We start from the raw sequence: 21,216 nt of genomic DNA, 5'->3' as shown, positions 1-21,216 counted from the left end.
CTTTGAGCAAAGCAGATTGCCCTCCATAATATGGTTGGGCTTGATCTAATCAGCGGAAGGCCTCAGTATAGCAAAAAGACCAGCCTCTCCTGAGCAAGAGGGAACACTCCAGCAGATGGTCTCCAGACTTCACCTGCAACATTGGCTCTTCCTGGCTCTACAGCACATTGCTCTTAAACGGGAACTACAACATTGGCTCTCCTGGGTCTCCTGGACTTGCCACTTTCCACAGTCATGCAAACCAATTCCTTAAAATAAACCTCTTTTTATATCTATGCACGTTGGTTCTGTTGGTTCTATATTTATTGGTTCTGTTTCTCTGGAGAACCCTGACCCAATACAATGACCATTAAATATTTCATGAAGAAATGGCTGTTCTGACTTTGCCTCCTAGTACAGTCTGCTATACTGGCTGATAACGGTGGAAGCTGCTACTTCTCTTGCCAACCTTAGCAACTATTTGCGGGCAAAGTGTTCTTAGTATACCTCTTTCCCTGAAAAAAGAGCAGTATATTTTTTTCTCTACGTTATTTTCTTTTTCTTTCTTGTATTTTAAAATATCTCCTCTTTTTGTAAGTTGACAGGAGCACATTGATATTTAGAGAAAAACTTCGCAGCATTATGTTGCTGCCGTAATGCTGCATAACAAATTCTCAGTGGCTTATAACAACAAACATTTTAGTGTCCTCATTCACAAGTCTACAGGGCAGCTGGGATGGCTTCTTACAAGAATGCCCTTCTTATGTCACATCACAGGAGTGGAAGAGGAAAATCCAAACTGTGAAAGCACATTTAAAGCCTCTGGTTGCATCACATCTAGTATTACACTCTGGGCACAGCAAATCACATGGCCAAGTTTCCAGCCAAATGATGAGAAAGTACACTCTGCCTACTGAGAATCCACAGCAAGGATGGGTAAATATATAGAATATATATTCTATGGCTTGCCTATAATATCTATAAGAAAAAAAGATGAAAACCACAATAGAAAAAAATACTCCACGGCAATAGCAGGACATTCACAAAAGTATACACATAAAAATAAAGAAACATGGGATGTTCAGTCTTATCTGTAATCAAAGAAATGCCAATATAAAATACTGTGAGACACTTTTTAACCCATAAGATTGGAAAATAATAGAATGATAAACATCAGCTCATTGGCTAGAGATTAATTTGTGCAATCTTTCTGGATATCAATCTGACAATAGGTATTAACATTTTAAAATGCATATAGCCAATTACTCAGCAATTCCTCTTCTAGGAATTGACAACAAAAGTGATTGTGCAAAGACTTATGTACAAAGGTATTTACTTGGGGAAAAAAATGACCAAATTGAGGAAAGTTCTTTGTTCTCTTGCTTTTACCTGAACATCACCATTATATACATGGCAGAGCTAAATCGATCATTTCATCTGTTGCATATAATCACAAATTTTGTAGTTCATAGTAGACTAAACTTACCAATAAAGTAGCAGATTTACCACCAACATAATAAATTCCTTTTCAGAACTAAAATGTGTCTTTACTGTGAAACGTTAAAAACTATCAGGAAACAGGAAGGCGAATATGAGATAGAAAGATAAAGCTGGAAAAAAATGAAAAGAGGAAGGTTATCAGGCAATTCATTTTAACATGTTCTCTGGGTTTCATTGTAGACCTTTAAAAAGGTTGAATTTTATAGCATTTTGTACACAGATTGTAAACTTTTGGACCTAGCACACTTTGTCGGGAGTTTCTTTAGCAGATCTTATGAAACTGCAGGGGAAGAAAACAAATGCAGCATAGTTGATGCAGAGCGTTTTCAGGCACTTTCTAATAAAGAATGAACTGGGATGGTCAGCCCTGGCTCAGAATTGTGAAGATCCTCCCAGCTGGGCAGGCACTTGGTGGGGAGGCTGGCATTGGTGCTAACAGACTATTGAGGATGGAACACGTTCAAGAGCTCACCCCTCCCCGATTTAGGCATAAAGAGATGATCAGATGGCACTGCCCCTACCCCATTTGTACAGTATCCTCAAAGGATTTTGCTGTTCATACCTTTTCTCCTCTTTAATGCTGTTCTTGATACACTTTTCATTTTATTTAACCTGCCTAAAAATGCTGGGTATGGCAAATGGGCAAAAGACTTGCTGTAAGGTTTTTTTCCTTCCAGATCTTCCCACAAATTGATCCTTCTACCCATTCTACCCAATTCCCCACCCCTACCTCAGCCAACTGTCCCGGAGGGTGATTCTGCCCGACTGTTACATATAAAGAAAGTGGGAACTTAAAATCAAAATGTGAATATGCAAACTGCTCTTTGGGCTACCTGACAAAGGGTGACACAGAATTCAAAAAATATTCAGCTAATATTTATATGAATAGAAATCATATTAATTCATCTTGGACCAAATATTAACCGGGGCAAAACTTTTATCAGGCAGATGAGTCCAGACCACATTAGGCAGAGAGAAAAAGTGTCAGAGAAAATGACTAATGGAAACAAGATAAGAAACACTTGATAAGTTTGACCCTCATTGTTCAGTTTCATTTGTATTTCTAAATTTGATTTTGTGTACTTGCAGTTTTAGAAAAAAAAGTAATATTTGAAAGTATTTTTCCCAGCCTTTAAATTTCAAGTTCATCAATCTAATAAACACTCATATAACTAGAAGTTCTAAACTTGTAGGGAAGTTTCCTTGACACTTATTTCTTTACCCTGGAGAATCTCCCCTTGGTGCAGAATTGTTGTGAACCAAAACTTTGTGAAGAATTTTGGGATAGTTGTAATTAACAGAACTGAGTTTGATCACTCATACCACCACTACTTCACAGTTGTATGACTCTGCATCAGTTACTTAATCACTCTAAGCCTTAATGTTTTCATCTGTAAAAATGGGTCTAATAATATCTGCATTACAGATTTGCTGTGTGCCTTAAATATCCCCACAGCAATCATGACTATGAAATAAGCACACCAAATATTTGAATTCACTGCAATGTTCTCAAATAAGAAGATCTTCAAAAATTAGACTACTCTATTCATCCATACAATGCTTTCCATTTACTTTCTCAGTATGAAAATAATTGCAATTCCTATTGCAACTGTGATTGTGAAGAACTTATAAATCTTTTTTTGGCAAAGTTTTTTCCAAGCAAAAATGAACTGGGAACAGCAGGTAGAAATGTCTATAAAAATCCGAGTTGACAGAAACCTTGGAAGTCCTCTCTTACCTTCCGTGGTTCATTATCCGAGCCAGAGGCGAATGCATTCTATAGTGAGCTTTGGAGTAGAGTCTGATGGGAATTTGGTCTGATGCCAACAGTCACTGTTTTTCAAATGGCATGAATGACTGATACTTTAATTTTTATCTCAGAACCTGTATTTTCTCTGCTTCCCAAAGATTCTCCTATTTCTTTTCTTTTTAAGACCAAGGGATTTGTTGGTGGGCAGCAACGGGTGAGAAGAGGTAGGGAAAGCAGGTTCTAGTGCTTTCTATGCTGACTTTTAACTAATCTTTTCATTTTTGACCTCAAATATCAAATTCACGTATGTGGATTTTGGGGGCCAGGTATTTCATGGATCCTTCAAAGGTGCTTGGGATGGCATTGTTCCCCTCAGTGTGTCTGCCCCTAAACTTAGCTCATAACTTTGACTATGCAGTCCATTCAACTGCCACTCCTCCACTTGCTTCCTGTCAGATAAAGGGTTTTTTGTTTTTTTTTTGACGGAGTCTAGCTCTGTCGCCCAGGCCAGAGTGCAGTGGTATGATCTTGGCTCACTGAAATCTCCGCCTCCCGGGTTCAAGTGATTCTCCAGCCTCAGCCTCCTGGGTAGCTGGGATTACAGGTGCTCGCTACCATGCCCGGCTAGTTTTTGTATTTTTTATAGAGACGGGATTTCACCATGTTGGCCAGGCTGTTCTCGAACTCCTGACCTCAGGTGATCTGCCCGCCTTGGCCTCCCAAAGTGCTGGGATTACAGGCATGAGCCACCGCACCCAGCCTTTTTTCTTTTTTTTTTTTAATGTTTCTTACATGCTTTTATACCCTTTCTCTTTGTCCTTGTTGACTATACCTTTTGTATAATTTTACTGACCTTTCATGGGTCTTGGGGAGGGAAATGAGATTAAGATGTATTGTCAATATGTCATGCTTAACCAGAAGCCTTGAAAAGAGCAAGTTTGGAAATTTAAATAATAGGATTTAAACTTGATATAAATAATACAAAAGAGAAAAAAAATCTTAAACTTGATATGAATAATACAAAAGGAAAAAAAATCTTTAAAACTTCAAGTAAAATATATAAGATTTGTGACTTGTTTCCAGAGATCAATACATATATTTAATTTGTGTACTTCCATTATATAGCTCTTAAGATAACAGCAGAACATTTTTAAATATTTATTTTTAAAAAGCATATTTTCCAGGAAAATTGCTATGTAATTTTATTCCTTGAGTTAATAAACAGGGCTTTGTAAATATGATCCAAAGAATGAGAACTAAAACTAAATACTCAATCAGCTTAAGCTCAAACTTTACTTTTTGACATTCATGGGGTGTTAAAAGATGCCTTTGACTTTGATGTTTTGAAAAGAATGTAATACTTTCCATTTGCTAAGACTGGAAAAATGAGTCATGAACAGCCACTTCACTTTGGTAGCTAATCTGTATCAGAATATCATCTTGCTTAAGCTGTGTAACTAAAGAGATTTTGGTGTAGTTCAGAGCATACGTATTTGTAATCTGCTGTTATAAAACAGAAACAAATAGAAATTTTAAAATTGATGTGAGATTACCACTACATCCAAAGAAATAATATAAAAGGCAAAGATTTTATTCTGAACATTTACAGAAACACAGCAGCACTTTAGCACGAAGTCTAAGTCAGTGTGACATACAGTTTCATATGAATTTGTTTGCAGAAAAGAAAGCCTGTCTTTTCAAATTGGGCCTAATAAAATGTCTGCAACCAGAAAGGGAATAGCCAAATGGTCAAATCCATCTAAAGTCATTAAACAAAAGATGCCGCCATCTCAAAACCATGTGTCTGATATTTGTTACATGAGTCATAGAGTCTGTGCTAAAATTTAGGAAACATTCAAGTTTTCAGAATCAAATTTACACATCATCTTTCGGTTGGTGTCCACAGGGGACAAATTTTACCATTTATATAAGTTCTTCCAAATCGCAGACCTAGTGGCAATTCTGGATCTTGTCTCTAAATTTTGATGATATATTGTAATTGAGGCCTGCAGCTTCCCATGAGTTATTTAACTGTTAACACCAACAAAATGTATGTACTGCTAGAAAACAGATCATTTCTAGCCTTTCATGGACTGGATCCTAGAGTTTTAGAAGCAGCTGGTATTTTCTCTCTCAATGGCTCACTTTATGAAAAGCCAAAGTATATGTAGTAAAATTGTATCTTGGAGGCCAGAAAAATATTTTTAGCATAATTTTGTTCATTGTTTTCTGGATCTTCTTGCTACGTTGGTTCAGATGAAAACAGTTTTTTCTTTCCTTACATAGCAATATGTTGTTTATATTCTTGTATAAGTTTGTGTTAAGGATTGAAGCTTCATTTAATTACTGCAGTCATCTCTTAAAATTCTCCTTTCACTGTAGAATTCTTTCCCTAGGAACAGGGCAGCAAATGTGAGCTGTGTCATCAGAAACCAAGATTTCTTGATTTTCTTTCTTGTAGGTAGCTTCCTTTCTTTGTATCACAGGCCAATCTGAAAGTATTCTTCCAGAAATTCTGTATGTTTGATACGAAGGCATGCAAAGCCAACTTTTTTTTTTATACTTTAAGTTCTAGGGTACATGTGCACAACGTGCAGGTTTGTTACATAGGTATACATGGGCCATGTTGGTGTGCTGCACCCATTAACTCATCATTTACATTAGGTATTTCTCCTAATGCTATCCCTCCCCCATTCCCCCACCCCACGACAGGCCCCAGTGTGTGATGTTCCCCGCTCTGTGTCCAAGTGTTCTCATTGTTCAATTCCCATCTGTGAGTGAGAACATGCAGTGTTTGGTTTTCTGTCTTTGTGATAGTTTGCTCAGAATGATGCAAAACCAACTTTCAGAATAAAATGGTGAGCAAAAACCTGCTTAGGAGAAAGAATTTAGGTCTGAAATTTGCTTGATACTTACAGTTAGGCCAAAGAAAGTTGGATAATCCTGAGAAAATGTCAGCAAATGATTGTAACTTGTTTCTTTTCTTTCACTCTAGTATTCTATATTTTGGAGTCAATCTCATGCAGTAATTAATCGCAAAGACTCTGAAGGCTGACTACTGGGTTCAAATATTGGATCTTCTGCTTGCTAGGTTTGAGACCTTGGCAAATTAAAATCTTGAGTGAGTACCAGGTACACGATAAACTCAAATGTCCGTGTTTGCTATTATTAGTCCTCTGTGGAGTCCTAGAAATTTTCTGACACCTTCTTATTCTCCAAAATTTCCTTTTTCTAGACTTCATGAGGAAAACACACCTCTTCAGATTAATCTGTTTTTGAGATATAAGAAAATTCCAAATATACAAATTCCTTTAATAGGTATATTTTGGTTGCCTCTTCTTGATAACTGCTAGGAAGACACTTTAATCTCACCAAAAAAAAAAAAATTCTCTCTAAATTACACTTTTGTTTGCATTTTCTTAGTACCTATAAATAGTAAGTCCATCCTGTGACCTGGGATTATCAGAATGGGTGGCCTTCCTTTGATCTGAGAATTTTGCCTTTCTTGCTAGACTTGGGGACAAAGGTAACTTGTGTACCTGTAACTCTCAGCCCATGAGCTCTGTGCCTTTTTGGACTTAGTTTTCATTCAATTATCATGTAAGACAGAGAAATGTCTTCAGGGGGAAAATTCTGTCATGAAATAATAGAGTAGGAAGTGACTTCAGAGGTCACCAGGACATCTCTTTTCTTTTCCAAGAACTGAGGTTCAGAGAGGAGACATGACTCTTTTGGGGAACACAGGACAGGGCACAGGCAAAGGTGGGACTTACTGCACAGTCCTTCCTCCTACAGCACAAGTTGTAATGGTACAGAGGTGACATTAATTGATTCTGAAAAAACCTTGAAAAACAAATTAACTTAATGCTTATTTTCTTCATTCTTGACAGAAGAAAAAACATAAAATCTTGTGAATGAGATTCAAATGTCTGAGAAATTTTCTATCTATAAATGCTTTCATGACAAGGCCCAGTCAGTTATGCAATTACACTCAAGGGTGCATGCACTATTTGTGATGTTGTTTTGTAGGCATTCAATGAGGTAATACAAGACAAGTGCTTGGTTCAATGCTTGGCCCACAGGAAATACTTAATGAATTTTAGCTATTTCTATTACTATTATTTGCCTACATATAGGAATCCTCTTTTAGCCAAAAGGCTAGGTAGTGAAAGATTTGCTCATAATCTTGGATATAATTACCATATCATTCTTCACAGTATCTGAAGAGGCAGACTTCAGATAATAGCATTATCATTATTGAAATCTGGGAAAACACAGACACTAAAATATTTGCAGGCATGTTTCAATTACTCAAGTAGGTTAGAAGCAGAAAAACATATTCTTTATTTCCTGTATTTTCAACCCCAGGTTTAAATACGTCACTTTTACATGTTTTTAGTTTTTCAAATAACTAACTATAAAAAGGAAAACTGTTTTATTAAATAAAATATACAAAAGTAAACCAGACCACTCTAGAATCTGAGCAAAGGAAGTTTTGTGGGCTTCTCCTGGATACTTCTCCCCTTCCCCATCAACAGACAAGCTAGAAAAGGAGAAATAGGTTTGTTTGAACACTTCTCTTTTACAAAAATAAATAAAGAGGAACAAATATGTGGGCCACGTTTTAAAAATTGTATGTGTTTTTCCATTACTTATCGAGCAACTGCTTGCTAAGCAAGGCACTAAGTGACTTAAATGCACAAACTCATTGAATCCTTTCAACTCTGAGTAGAATGATTTTTATCATCACCATTTTACAGATAAGGAAACTAAGGCAGCTGCCTAAAGTCCCAGAGCTTGCAAATAATGGAGTGGAGATTCCTCTAAGAGGTCATGATTCCAGGATGAAACTCTTTAATCACTATCTTGTATAGTCACATTACTACACAGGTGGGCAAATAAAGAAAACAAGGACAGAAATGGACTATGATTTAACGTTGGATTTTTAACAGCAGTTAGGAATTTGCTAATTCAATACCACAGGATTAAAAGTTTTCCAACTAGGAAGCCCCAGAGAAAATGAAGACATATTTATTAAATTATAATAGGCCTTTAAATGACTGTGTGGACATGATCATACAACTTGACACGTTTTTTCACGGGTATTTCTCATGCAGTCCAGTCTGGATCCACAACATGCTCCTGAAGGGTGTGTGGCATGAAGAAGTCACTGCCCTGGAGAGCAGGGAACTGAGAGGTAACAATCCATGAGGGGTTTTCACTTTGCCCTTGCCCTTTTCCTCCTCCCTATTCCAGTAGACACTTGGCTCCGTGCTCATTTCCTCAGAAGAGGATGAAGCAGGGTGAAAAATGAAAGTTGCCTGACAGCTACTTCTCTTTCTGCTGTTAGTGCCCAAACCCAACCACAGAAAAGGAAAGAATTCTTGAGCATAGATTCTTGAAGGGAAACGATTTTCCCTTCAGGTGAACTGCTAATAATATTAACAATTGCTCTCACTCATGGATCCCTAACTATGCATTAGGCACACTTTGAAGCACATATCTGTGTACTCATTTAATTCTGTAAAAGCTTATGAGAGAGTTATTACTAATATTGTTAGAATGCTCCATGAAGATTTGTTTTTGTCTGATTTTATTTAGTGCTATATCTCTATTTATTTACTTATTTATTTTTGAGATGGAGTCTCGCTCTGTCGCCAGGCTGGAGTGTAGTGGCACGCTCTCGGCTCACTGCAATCTCTGCCTCCCGGGTTCAAGCGATTCTCCTGCCTCACACTCCCGCGTAGCTGGGATTACAGGCGTGGGCCACCACACCTGGCTGATTTTTGTATTTTTAGTAGAGATGGAGTTTCACCATGTTGACCAGGATGGTCTCCATCTCCTGACCTTGTGATCCACCTGCCTCGGCCTCCCAAAGTGCTGGGATTACAGGAGTGAGCCACCGCGCCCAGCCTTATTTACTGCTATATCTCTAGCGTTCAGAACAATACCTGGCAAAGATTAGGAACAAATAAATATTTATTGTAGAATCAATCTCCATCTAAAGGTGAAGGAGCTCAGGCACAGAGAGATTAAGTTACCTGCCCAAAGGCCCACAGCTGGTAGAAGACTAGGAGAGTTAGAGCACCCCCACCTGGGCTGGGAGAAGAGACAAGAGGATGGGAAAGCTGTGCTTCCCGAGTAGAGGAGATCTGGGACCCTCTCCTGGGACCCTCTTGTGCCTCCAGGGAGGTAGAAAGACCACAGAGAAGAAGTGGCTCTGTTGGGTACTGGGCAGGTGGAATCTCAGGCAGCGTTGTGATGAAACCACCACACTGGGGCAAGAAGGTAGCAAAATGAGAATGCTACAGGAGCTGCAGAGAGCTCCTGGCGTGGAGGCCATGCACACAAGGACAATGGATGCCTCTAGAGCAGCCTCTGTTGATCGGTGACCAAGGATCAAGTGGCTGCTCCTTCCCCAATCCTTGATGTGTTACTCTGCTTTCCTCCAGCCAAAACAACTGGTCGTAAAAGATAAAATTGTAATACAAAATGAGAAAAGTGTTATTTTTTGTATACTTGATTTTTTTTTAACTGAAGCAGTCTCGTATTATATATAGGCAGCATTATGTAAGGAAAAATATTAAATGTGTCATCAGAAGGCCTAGATTTTAATCCTAGCTTGTCCCAACAAAAATTCGCAGGCAATTTACCTAATTTCCCTATGTCTCAGTTTCCTCATTTATAAAAATAGGGATTAAAAATCATTGAGGTGAGGATAAAAAGATTTTTTTGAAAATATAAGTTAAAGCTGTCAAAGATAATAAATGCATTGTGTTAATTTTGTATAGCTCCCACTCCCATCCCATTTGCACTTGATTTTGACACACATGTATCCTTTTTTGGTGGGTAAAGGGCTACACTTGCGTCTTCTCTTTTTACATACTAGTATTTACATTTATTTTCATTTCTGACGTTTATACTAAGTGGATGTAAACATATTTTTCAAAATTAAAAGCACTTTAGAAATAAGAAATATTAAATGATTGATATGTTGCTATTGTTGCCTGTGGGAGTAATTTTCTGGAAGTTGAAAGCCAGCTGGTCATTGAAATGTTTCATGGATAATCCTCAGGCTCAGTAAGGCCCAGGCAGGCATTTTATTGGATCTTTTCACTGAGCTGTCCTAATATTATAGATAAAAATAATTCCTGCACTAAGAAGTGAAACAATAAATTTCTAAAATGTCAGGCATTTGTTACTAAATTGTAAAAGGATCACAAACAAGATGAATTGGAAACTTCTACACCAGGTTTACTTTAAACACTTTGGCTTTTCTGAGAAATGAGAGTAAATGAAATAAACCAGCAACAATGCAAATTTACAGTCCTTGCAAAAACGTGAACTATAAATTAGGGTTATTCTATCATCAGATGTATATTAGTGGTCATGACATGCCTGGCACTCCTCTTAGAACTGAGGAGACAATAGTGAAAAAGACAGTGAAGTGCCTGCCTTTACAGAGCTTACATTCCACTGGGAGAAACCAAAAACAAACAAGTTAAATACACCACATTGTTAGACACTGCCTCGAAGGAACATACAGCAGGTACAGGAGAGACTGTTTCTAAAATAGAGAAGCAAGTCATGTGCACATCTGCAAAGATGATTTCATTACATTCAGGTTTTCTTATTCTCCAGGAGCCTATGGTGTAAAACTGAAAATAAGTGAACATGTAACAGTGGGCATACATATGCAGCTATAACTTTGACTTTACCTTGTATACAAATGTGTTGGTTTATTTATACCCAGATATCCTGTATAACCAGCAGTCTTCGCAGGCTTGAACTGCCTGGCATGCATGTTTTATCTAAGAAAAGAAGGAAGAGCGTTAGGTAGAAGGAAGTTGCCTGTCCTCTCACTGGCTCGTGATTATCACTTACTCGTCATATAAACCCAAGGCACAGTCACATACCCAGGGATACAAGACACTGCAGACTCCCGAGAGACATAACACAGGTAAGTCATATTACTGAACTCCACATAGGTAATAAATGAGATATGCTTTACTCTTTACTTCAGAGTTTTTATTATTCTCATATCCTGTTTGTGACTAACTGTCTTGTGAGCTATTTTCATGATGGTGCTCACTCTGACCTTGTCTTACCCAGAACCTCTCCATATATGCGAATATGTGAAACTCAAATAGTCATTTTTAAGGAAATATAGGTACAGGAGATTTAAGAAGATCTCTTCAAGTGGATTTTAACATAGAAAATATAATCAATGCTAGAGGAAAAATCCTGTCTTAATCAGGGTTTGTTACTACTTCCAGAATTTTCCCAAGTGATTCTTCAATAACTTGGATTGATGGAGTAGAGAATATTATCTCATGGCTGTTCAATTTCTTTCCTTTGCTTTAAAGTTTAAGACTTTTACTGGTAATATTTTATATTATTTTAAGGCACATTTTGTTGAAGCATCTCCATGTTTTGATAAGAATTGCAACCTATCATCTTTTGGCTTCAGAGATGGTTTAAGGGATTTACCCCAGGCCAGGAATTTCAACTCACAGCTCCCAAAGGATATTTCAGTTATTCCTCTTGCTTTGGCTTTAATGTGAAACAGTCACTTAAAATGACATTTAGTTGATATTTGATAAAAAAAAAAAAAATAGAGCTTTCAGCTTGCTAATTCAAAGTTAAACATCCAGTGCTTGATTGAAATCAATATCTTACTCAGTCAACAACAATTCTTCTATTTCTCTATTGTCCTATAATTTAACTCCAACCTGGCAACTTTTCCAGAATTGAACTTGAAATGCCCAGGGACACTGTGAAATGAGGGAAATTAACATTCTTTACCATCAAATGTTAGGGGTAATAAAAAGCTGTTTTAATGTCAGTATATGCAAGAAGTTCCCCTGTGAACAATAGTATCTCACATGATTGCTGTCTGAATCCAATTTTTACATTTCAGAACACCAGGGTCTATATAATAGGAGTGTAAACATGCTCTAGGCCATTACATTTTGTATAAGTTTATTACTGGGCAAGTTAAGATCTGCATCTTAAACTCAAAGAAGAGCTATAGCAAATTCACAAGTAATCTTTGTTTTTATATCTCTAACTCAGATTATTGCGCAATTACTAAGCATGTAAAAAACTGTGTCTGGAATGCCCAAATATGTTTGAATTCTTGATGTGTCGTATTTAAGAGTAAGAGCTTACGTTGGCTAACATTTTGTATTGAACTGTAGAATGGTCAATACTTAATTCCTCATTTGTAAGTTTTCTATCTAACAAAATTATTCCAAAAGTTCTCTTTTTTGAACTAAAAATATTTCGGCTGAAGTCTTTATTAAGATGTTTAGTATAGGCATTGGATATTGATTAGCCTGTGTTGTCAGAGAGTTGAAATTGGATTGTTGTCATCTTTCTGGCACAGAGACTAGAATTTTTGAGACTATTTTTTACTGTGCTTTTACAGCAGTATACGGAATAATATATTGTTAAATTGTTTTATTATAAAAGTTTGTAATTTTTTCAATGATTATGTTAAAATTGCCTCTGGGATTGAATTAATCAGATGAAATAAATCAGCATTGTATTAGTTAGTTTTCACGCTGCTGATTAAGACATACCTGAGACTGGGTAATTTATAAAGAAAAAAAAGTTTGGCCGGGCGAGGTGGCTCAGCCTGTAATCCCAACATTTTGGGAGGCCGAGGCTGGCGGATCACCTGAGGTTAGGAGGTCCTGGCCAACATGGCGAAACCACGTCTCTACTAAAAATACAAAAATTAGCTGGGCGCGGTGGTGGGCGTCTGTAATCCCAGCTACTGGGGAGGCTGAGGCAGGGAGAATCGCTTGAACCCGGGAGGCGGATGCTGCAGTGAGCCGAGATTGCGCCACTGCACTCCAGCCTGGGCGACAGAGCAAGACTCCGTCTCAAAAAAAAAAAAAGAAAGAAAAAAAAAAAGAAAAAAATTTGCCGGGCGTGGTGGTTGGTGCCTGTAATCCCAGCTACTCTGGTGGCTGCGGCAGGAGAATCGCTTGAACCCGGGAGGCAGAGGCTGCGGTGAGACGAGATCACGCCATTGCACTCCAGGCTGGGCGACAAGAGTAAAACTCCGTCTCAAAAAAAAAAAAAAAAAAAAAAAAAGGGAGGGGGGCGGGCCGGGCCCGGTGGCTCACCCCTGTAAACCCAGCACTTTGGGAGGCTGAGGCAGGCGGATCACGAGGTCAGGAGATCGAGACCACCCCGGCTAACACGGGGAAACCCCATCTCTATTAAATATACAAAAAAATTAGCTGGGCGTGGTGGCGCGTGCCTGTAGTCCCAGCTACTCGGGAAGCTGAGGCAGGAGAATGGCGTGAACCCGGGAGGTGGAGCTTGCAGTGAGTGGAGATCACGCCACTGCACTCCAGCCTGGGCGACAGAGAGAGACTCCGTCTCAAAAAAAAAAAAAAAAAAAAAAAAAAAAAAAAAAAAAAAAAAAAAGAGAAAGAAAGAAAGAAAGAAAGAAAGAAAGAAAGAAAGAAAGAAAGAAAGGTTTAGACCAGGCACAGTGGCTCACACCTGTAATCCCAGCACTTTGGGAGGCCCAGGCAGGCGGATCACAAGGTCAGATGATCGAGACCATCCTGGCCAACATGGTGAAACCCCATCTCCACTAAAAAATAAAATACAAAAATTAGCTGTATGTGGTGGCGCACACCTATAATCCTAGCTACTTGGGAGACTGAGGCAGGATAATCGCTTGAACCCAGGAGGCGGAGATTTCAGTGAGCCCAGATTGCGCCACTGCACTGCAGTTCCACATGGCTGGGGAGACCTCACCATCATAGCGGAAGAGGAAGGGATGTCTTACATGGCAGCAGGCAAGACAGAACCAGAGCCAAGTTAAAGGGGAAATCCCTTATAAAATGATCAGATCTCGTGAGACTTATTTACTACCATGAAGTCAGTATGGGGGAAACCGCCCCCATGATTCAATTATCTCCCACCGGGTCCCTCCCATGACAAGTGGGAATTATGGGAGCTACAATTCAAGATGAGATTCTGGTGGGGATATAGCCAAACCATAACAAGCATTCTATAAAGTAAAAAAAAGCTACAAGAAAGAAAGAGAAAGAAAGGAAGTACCCAAGATAGTACTTTAAAAACACTGTTATTTCCCATATAAAAGAGCTTATTTCCTAATGCATATATTAATATTAAAAGTTAAATCTTCTGCAGTGGATAGCTATGTTCATATGAGTTTATATGTCTAAGTTTTTATCCAGGGTATTTATTAGTCGTTTATGTGTTCTTTGATAAACCGTATAGGTTATTTTTCAAACAGAATTCTAAATGAGCTTTTTATCTATCTGCTGAATTAGTAACTTTACACGATATACTTTGGGGTGTAAGGAAGCCAGTGGTTAATTTTAGATGCAAAGATCTTTAGATGTAAATATCTTCAAACACAATCAGCTTTTAAACTTCAGGCTTCTGTATCATTTCAGGAAACATGCAGTTTTCTCTACATGAGATTCTTAACACAACGACAGTGGAAGGGTTCAGAAATGAAGCTAACAGGAAATAAGGGACCAGAATGATACTGCAGTTTTGCTATGCTAGTCAAATCATACCAAGATAACCTAGATGTTATTTCTGTGTTTGATAGAAAGTTGGGGTCTAATTATGCTTATTTTCCCTCTATTGTCTCAGAACCATTTTAGTCTAGTTTCAGTCTCAGAACCATTTAGTCCTCACTCTATGTCATGTCTGTCCTATATATGAGGTTCTGTTTTAAGACAATGCACCTCTGAGCAAATACCGCATTACAAGGCTTTTTATCTAAGTCTTGCTATCTGGTACATCAGGTCCTCCTCTCCTGTTCTCTTTTTTTCTTTGTCTTGGCTATTTTGGTCCTTAGCATTTCCATTTGAAATCTAGGATCCAGTTTATCTGTAGAATCTCTCGAAGTTTAAATATAGACAATCATTTTGGACACAGCAAATGGATGCTGTGTCGCTCCCTTCCTACTACTTAACAAATGTTATTTATTGTTGTCTTACATTATTGAATTAGCTAGGCTGTCCAGCATTATGCTGAATAGTAGATGTTATAGTGGGATTCTTGTTACTTCTGACATTAAAGAAAATGCTTTTATTGATTCACCATTATGTATTATATTTGCTATAAGTTTTTAGTAGAGACTCTTTATATGGTTAAGGAAGTATTCTTCTATTGCTAGTTTGATAAGAGGTATTTTATTTTGTTTTTTCATTTTGCTAAGAATTTTGATCACAAATGAGTGATAATGTTATAAATGCTTTTTAAAAGCATTTAGTATCTATTGAGATGATAGTATGTTTCATGATAATTCTGTTTCTTATTTTTGAGAGAGAGTGTCTCACTGTCGCCCAGGCTGGAGTGAAGTGTCGCGGTCTTGGCTCACTGCAACCTCTGCCTCCCAGGTTCAAGCAATTCTCGTGCCTTAGCCACCTGAGTAGCTGGAATTACAGGCTCACACCACCACATCCAGCTAATTTGTATATTTTTTTGTAGAGACGGGGTTTCACCATGTTGGCCAGGCTGGTCTCAAACTCCTGACCTCAAGTGATCTGCCCGCCTCGGCCTCCCAAAGTGCCGGGATTACAGACGTGAGCCACTGCACCCGGCCTGATTTTTCTCTTTTAATGTAGTTTATTATACAGATGGATGTTCTGATATAACATCTGGTATTCCTGAGACAAACAGAAAATATAATTATGCAAATAACTACAGAAATGTCATGTAAAAAGTACAGCTTCATTAATGAGTTACAACTGTTGAAAGAATATTTTAAAAGGAAAGATAAGCATTTGTTAGCTGCTATTGGGCCTCTGCCAAATCTTAGACTTCAAGATATTTTTGCAGAGAAATATAGATAGCTACCAACCTATGCTGAGAATTTTTAAATGTCTTCTTTACTTGAGTGAAATACAATATAAAATAGCATGATTTTGAAAATTAACAATAATAAAAAACAATCACTTTGTTTTCATGCAGAATTCAACAGGTGGACACTGGTATCTATGTGGTAATTGACTGAATGAGAAAAGGTTGTATGTTTAACTTTTAATGCTGTTAACTTTTTTTTCTTTTTTCGAGATGGAGTCTTGCCCTGTCCCCCAGGCTGGAGTGCAATGGCAGGATCTTGGCTCACTGCAACCTCTGCCTCCTGGGTTTCAGTGATTTTTCTGCCTCAGCCTCCTGAGTAGCTGGGATTACAGGCGCCCGCCACCACCCCCAGCTAATTTTTGTATTTTTGGTAGAGACGGGGTTTCACCATGTTGGCCAAGCTGGTCTCAAACTCCTGACCTTGTGATCTGCCTGCATTGGCCTCCCAAAGTGCTAGGATTACAGGCGTGAGCCATGGTGCCCCACGTAATGCTAATAACTTTTAATATTAAAGGGAGAAAATATAATTTCTTCATGCTGTGGAAACATTGACTATGCCAACAAAACCAATAAAAAGTTTTATATAGAATGCTTTTCAAATAGAAGCTGCAGGCTGGGCACAGTGGCTCACGCCTGTAATCCCAGCACTTTGGGAGGCCAAGGGGGGTGGATTACCTGAGGTTGGGAGACCAATCTGAGACCAGTCTGGCCAACATAAGTGAAACCCCATCTCTACTAGAAATAGAAAAATTAGCCAGGCATGATGGTGCATGCCTGTAATCCCAGCTACTCAGGAGGCTGAGGCAGGAGAATTGCTTGAATCCAGGAGGCGGAGGTTGCAGTGAGCCCAGATTGAGCCACTGCACTCCAGACTGGGGGACAGAGTGAGACTGTGCTGCAACAAAACAAAACGAAACAAAACGAAACAAAACGAAACACCAAATAGAAACCACAACTAATAATCAAACTTTTTCCACTCTGTAGGCTTTTAAAAATTGTTTTGATATTTAAAACAAATACGTCCAGGAATTATAACTATCATGCTTTTCCTGGATAAGAATAATCTCTTAATTATTATGTTTTTTATTTACTATTTTCGTGCTCTTAGACCTTTTCCACTATTTATTTCTAAGCTCAACATTTCTAAGTAACCTGGAAAACAGTTCCATTGTTCTGATGGGCATTTCATTTAGTCTCCCAAATTTGAACTCCTTTATATGTATAGTTCTCCCTGAAAGAAATTTATGGCTGTAAATCATGGAATTCTTATTTATTTAGTCAATTCTTGTCTCTTTCAAGGACATTTCCCCACATATCTATATATGCGGTGAATGCTACATCTCAGTTGGGTGGGGACTGGACTGGCTGATGCAAACTGGGCAGGAATGATTGGCAGTAGCTCTCTCGTTTTAGCAAGGAGCACCAGCTTCACTCCACAACATCTGGACACAGAAGCCAGGGCCAGAAAAAATGGTTTTGCTAGGAATTACCATCACCGTCACTTCCTGAACCTGGGAGCTTCTAGATAGGCAACCAGTTATTTCCAGGTCATCCTCTTCCCACTAGACTCCAGGAATATATAAACTTAAAGTCAAGACTTGGCAAGCTAGATTTTTATGATTCGTGTTTAACCTTTTATGTGGTGTGATTTCTTTCTTTCTTTTTTTTTTTTTTTTGAGACGGCGTCTCACTCTGCTGCCCAGTCTGGAGTGCAGTGGCGTGATCTTGGGTCACTGCAACCTCCACCTCTGGGGTTCAAGCGATTCTCCTGCCTCAGCCTCCTGAATAGCTGGGATTACAGGCGCGCACCACCACACCTGGCTAATTTTTGTATTTTTAGTAGAGATGGGGTTTCACCATGTTGGCCAGGCTGGTCTCGAACTCCTGGCTTCAGGTGATCCGCCTGCCTTGGCCTCCCAAAGTTCTGGGATTACAGGCATGAGCCACCGTGCCTGGTCTGTGATGTGATTTTTGATGAAACTTTGTTTTGAGGCTTGAGCCCAACTTTCCCTTTTATCTAATTAGTATTCCATTAATATTCTTTAAAAACTTTCTTAGTAGTGAATAAACTATTTAAACTCACCACTTTAAATAAATAATCATCATTATATGCTTTTATTCATTTAGTTACCATAATTATTATTTATCTTTAGTGTGCTGTATTCATAGTGTTTATTCTTGACTACAGAATGAGATCAAAGTCATTATTACTGATGCTAATGATTAAGTTTGCCATTGTGCTACGTACCTTATATGTATTACCTCATTAATTTACAAATCCATGTTAATATCACTATTTATAAAAAGTGGTCTTTGAAATTCAGGGAGATTTTAACTGGCCAAAGCCCAAATTCAAAGAATTGAATTTCAAATGAAAACATTTCTTTCTCAGTTGTTTGATCTTACGAAATTAAAATATATTCCACTACGAGTGCTTAAAGTCATTAACCATTTATAAACAATGAAAATGAAAAGATACAAATCACTGAAAACCCATAAAATTATAATGACTGAATTCGTCGGTATTAGCAAACGTTTTGAAATGTAAGAGTACTTGGCTTTCTTCCTCTACAGAGGGAATGAAGGAAGATTGCCCCATCTCTGCAGAGGTCTGGAGATGGGGTGTGTTTTGTGGTGCAGGTAACCCAGTAAAACCCAGTAGCGTGGATGTAGTCAGAGGGAACCAGAGAGCAGTGTTTCCCTAGGCCTTGGATGCCTAGAGGGAAAGCCACAGGTGAGGAAAGAGAGGCAAAGACAGGTTGGCATGGCACTCACATTCCTCTTGCATGTGCCCAGCCCTTGGCTGTCCTTACCCAGATGTCCTCATAAACTCTGAGCTGTGTCACAAGGGCAAACAAAACAGGCAAAATATCAAATATTACACATTACCAGTGACTAAAAGGAGGGTAAAATCATCTTAAAGTGGGAAGTTTTTTTTGCTCCATGCTCTGAAGGTTGGGGTGTAGTTACCCTCTTAATCTGAATATTTTTATAAATAAAGTTTGAATTTGGTTATTTCACTGTAATGTTCTAAGTAGTGCCAAGAGAGAGTCATGATCTGATTTCAACCAAGTTTCCCCGTATGTAATTAGATAGTGATTTATAATTTTGGTTTTGAAATATCCTCTAATGTCTCCAGTAATCTCAAGAGATGCCATAAAGTTTTCCAAAAAATTCTGAAGAAAAATATTGAGGCATCTCTAGAGGGCTCTTAAAATAATCCCTCCCTTTTTCTTTTTCCAGAATTGCACCATGCCAAACTACAAACTCACTTATTTTAATATGAGGGGGAGAGCAGAAATTATTCGTTACATATTTGCTTATTTGGACATACAGTATGAAGACCACAGAATAGAACAAGCTGACTGGCCTGAAATCAAATCAAGTAAGTAGCAAAAATAATAAATGTAGGAAAAATATGCTTTCAGAACCTTTTGTTTTTCCTCAGGGAAATGAAAAAAAAATCAAGGTTTTCGAAGCTCATGTAGCTTTAAATTGAAAAGCAGCAGTTCAGACTAAATAAATGCTGTGTGATCAAGCAAATTTCCTATTAGAGGTGAAAACACAAAACTTACAGAAAGAGAATATAAAGGTAAACCAGTATAAAGCTTTAGCAGACAATATGAGCTGAAATAAACATGCGACATTGTTTGTTTGTTTGTTTTTCTATTTTGTCACTGGGATAGCTGAAGTGCACAGAGTTTAGGTAATTTTTCCAGTTTCACGACCCTAGCAAGTAGAACTGAGTTTCAAACCCAGGTCAGTTTAATACCAGGCTCAAGCTATTTGCACTAGACAATGCCAAAACAACACTACTATGATAACAGGCATATTAACAATGAATTGCCACAGCCTTTGGAAGCATGAGCTCCTTAAAAGTCATTGCCCTTATAACCATTCTTTTTCTTAGCAGAGACCTCTTCTCTGGTGAGATAGTGTATCTTATTTCTTATTCTCATGATACTTTACCATTAATATCCAAATGTTTCTTCCGATATTGGAATTTACACATGGGATTTTAAGACAGTGAATATATAATAGGTGAACATTACTTTTATCCACTAATTAATTAGACCAACATGGATAGAAAGGTGCAGATATTACATGTAATAAATTTTGCCTGTTAGCTTTGAAATATAAGTTCACTGAGTGCCTCATTCCCTATTCTACCTGAACTTTTCATTGTTACTAAAAATGGAATTTCTGTATTTTCTTAATATTTCCATAGATTTTCAGAGTTGAAAGGAATCTTAAAGTTCATGATGGTTAGGATATAGTTTCAAATGTTTTAATAGACAAAGACGCAATGTAAAATTTTCTTAGAAAGGACAGAAATTTCATTTACACAAAACCCCAAGTGGGTATCATGATTTTGCTCCATACAGTTGTCAAAGATTAGGTTTCTTGTTGATCTGCCACCCCTTGGTGTCTTATTGACACAGTGTGAGATAGCTCACATTCCTTCCACATTGTAGCTCAGAGAAAGTGTGAAAGAGGGAGGGGACACACCCCTTCCTTTTACTAGAAAGTTGCATACGTCACTTGGTAAGCCCAACGGTCACATATTACTACAAGGAAAATTGAGAGATGCTGATTTAATTGTGGATAATCATTTGCACAGGTAAAAATCCAGAGTTTTATTACTCTAAGAAGAAAGGAAAGAACAGGTACTACTAAGGAGCAGTTTCTATTACAAATGTTATTTGGTCTCATCTGCTGTCCAGTTTAGCAGTGCTCTCTGGTGCTTGAAACCTGCTACGACACTCCCTCTGCTAGAACCTAGAAAATCTCCAGTCAACACATTCCATCACTGGATACTTTTATTAAAATGTTCTCCTGGACAAACTTGGTAAATTGCACATATGAGTTTACATTTTCTCCCTTTAAAACGTTTTTTCTCTCCTTTAATAACACTGAAGTACTTTAAAAAAGGGCCAAAGTCCATAAGGACAAAGAAATAAAGCTTGAATGTAGATATGATAGCACACAATTCTGGAAGCTAAAAAGCAGGCCAAAGCATGGTAAAGTGACTTAGTAGGCCCAGAGTTCAAACATAAACCTTGAGGAGCAGAAGGCAAGCTAAATCACCAGAGATACAGAAAAAGGCTCATGAA

At 38.1% G+C, this 21,216-nt stretch overlaps 1 protein-coding gene across 2 annotated transcripts in view; it reads left to right on the top strand.

Moving 5' to 3' along the window:
* The window catches only part of HPGDS (hematopoietic prostaglandin D synthase), a 44,302-nt gene continuing 34,233 nt past the window's right edge, over positions 11,148-21,216 (top strand). For both annotated transcript variants that reach the window (XM_005262932.4, NM_014485.3), the window contains exons 1-2: positions 11,148-11,189; positions 19,346-19,487. In XM_005262932.4, coding sequence (XP_005262989.1) covers positions 19,355-19,487 — 133 coding nt within the window. In that variant the 5' untranslated portion in view covers positions 11,148-11,189; positions 19,346-19,354. The remainder of the gene's footprint in view (positions 11,190-19,345; positions 19,488-21,216) is intronic.

This window comes from Homo sapiens, chromosome 4 (genome assembly GCF_000001405.40).
Source record: "Homo sapiens chromosome 4, GRCh38.p14 Primary Assembly".
NCBI classification, from domain to species: domain Eukaryota; kingdom Metazoa; phylum Chordata; class Mammalia; order Primates; family Hominidae; genus Homo; species Homo sapiens.
The sequence above is the reverse complement of the archived record's forward strand: the minus strand, read 5'-3'. Positions and strand labels throughout refer to the sequence as shown.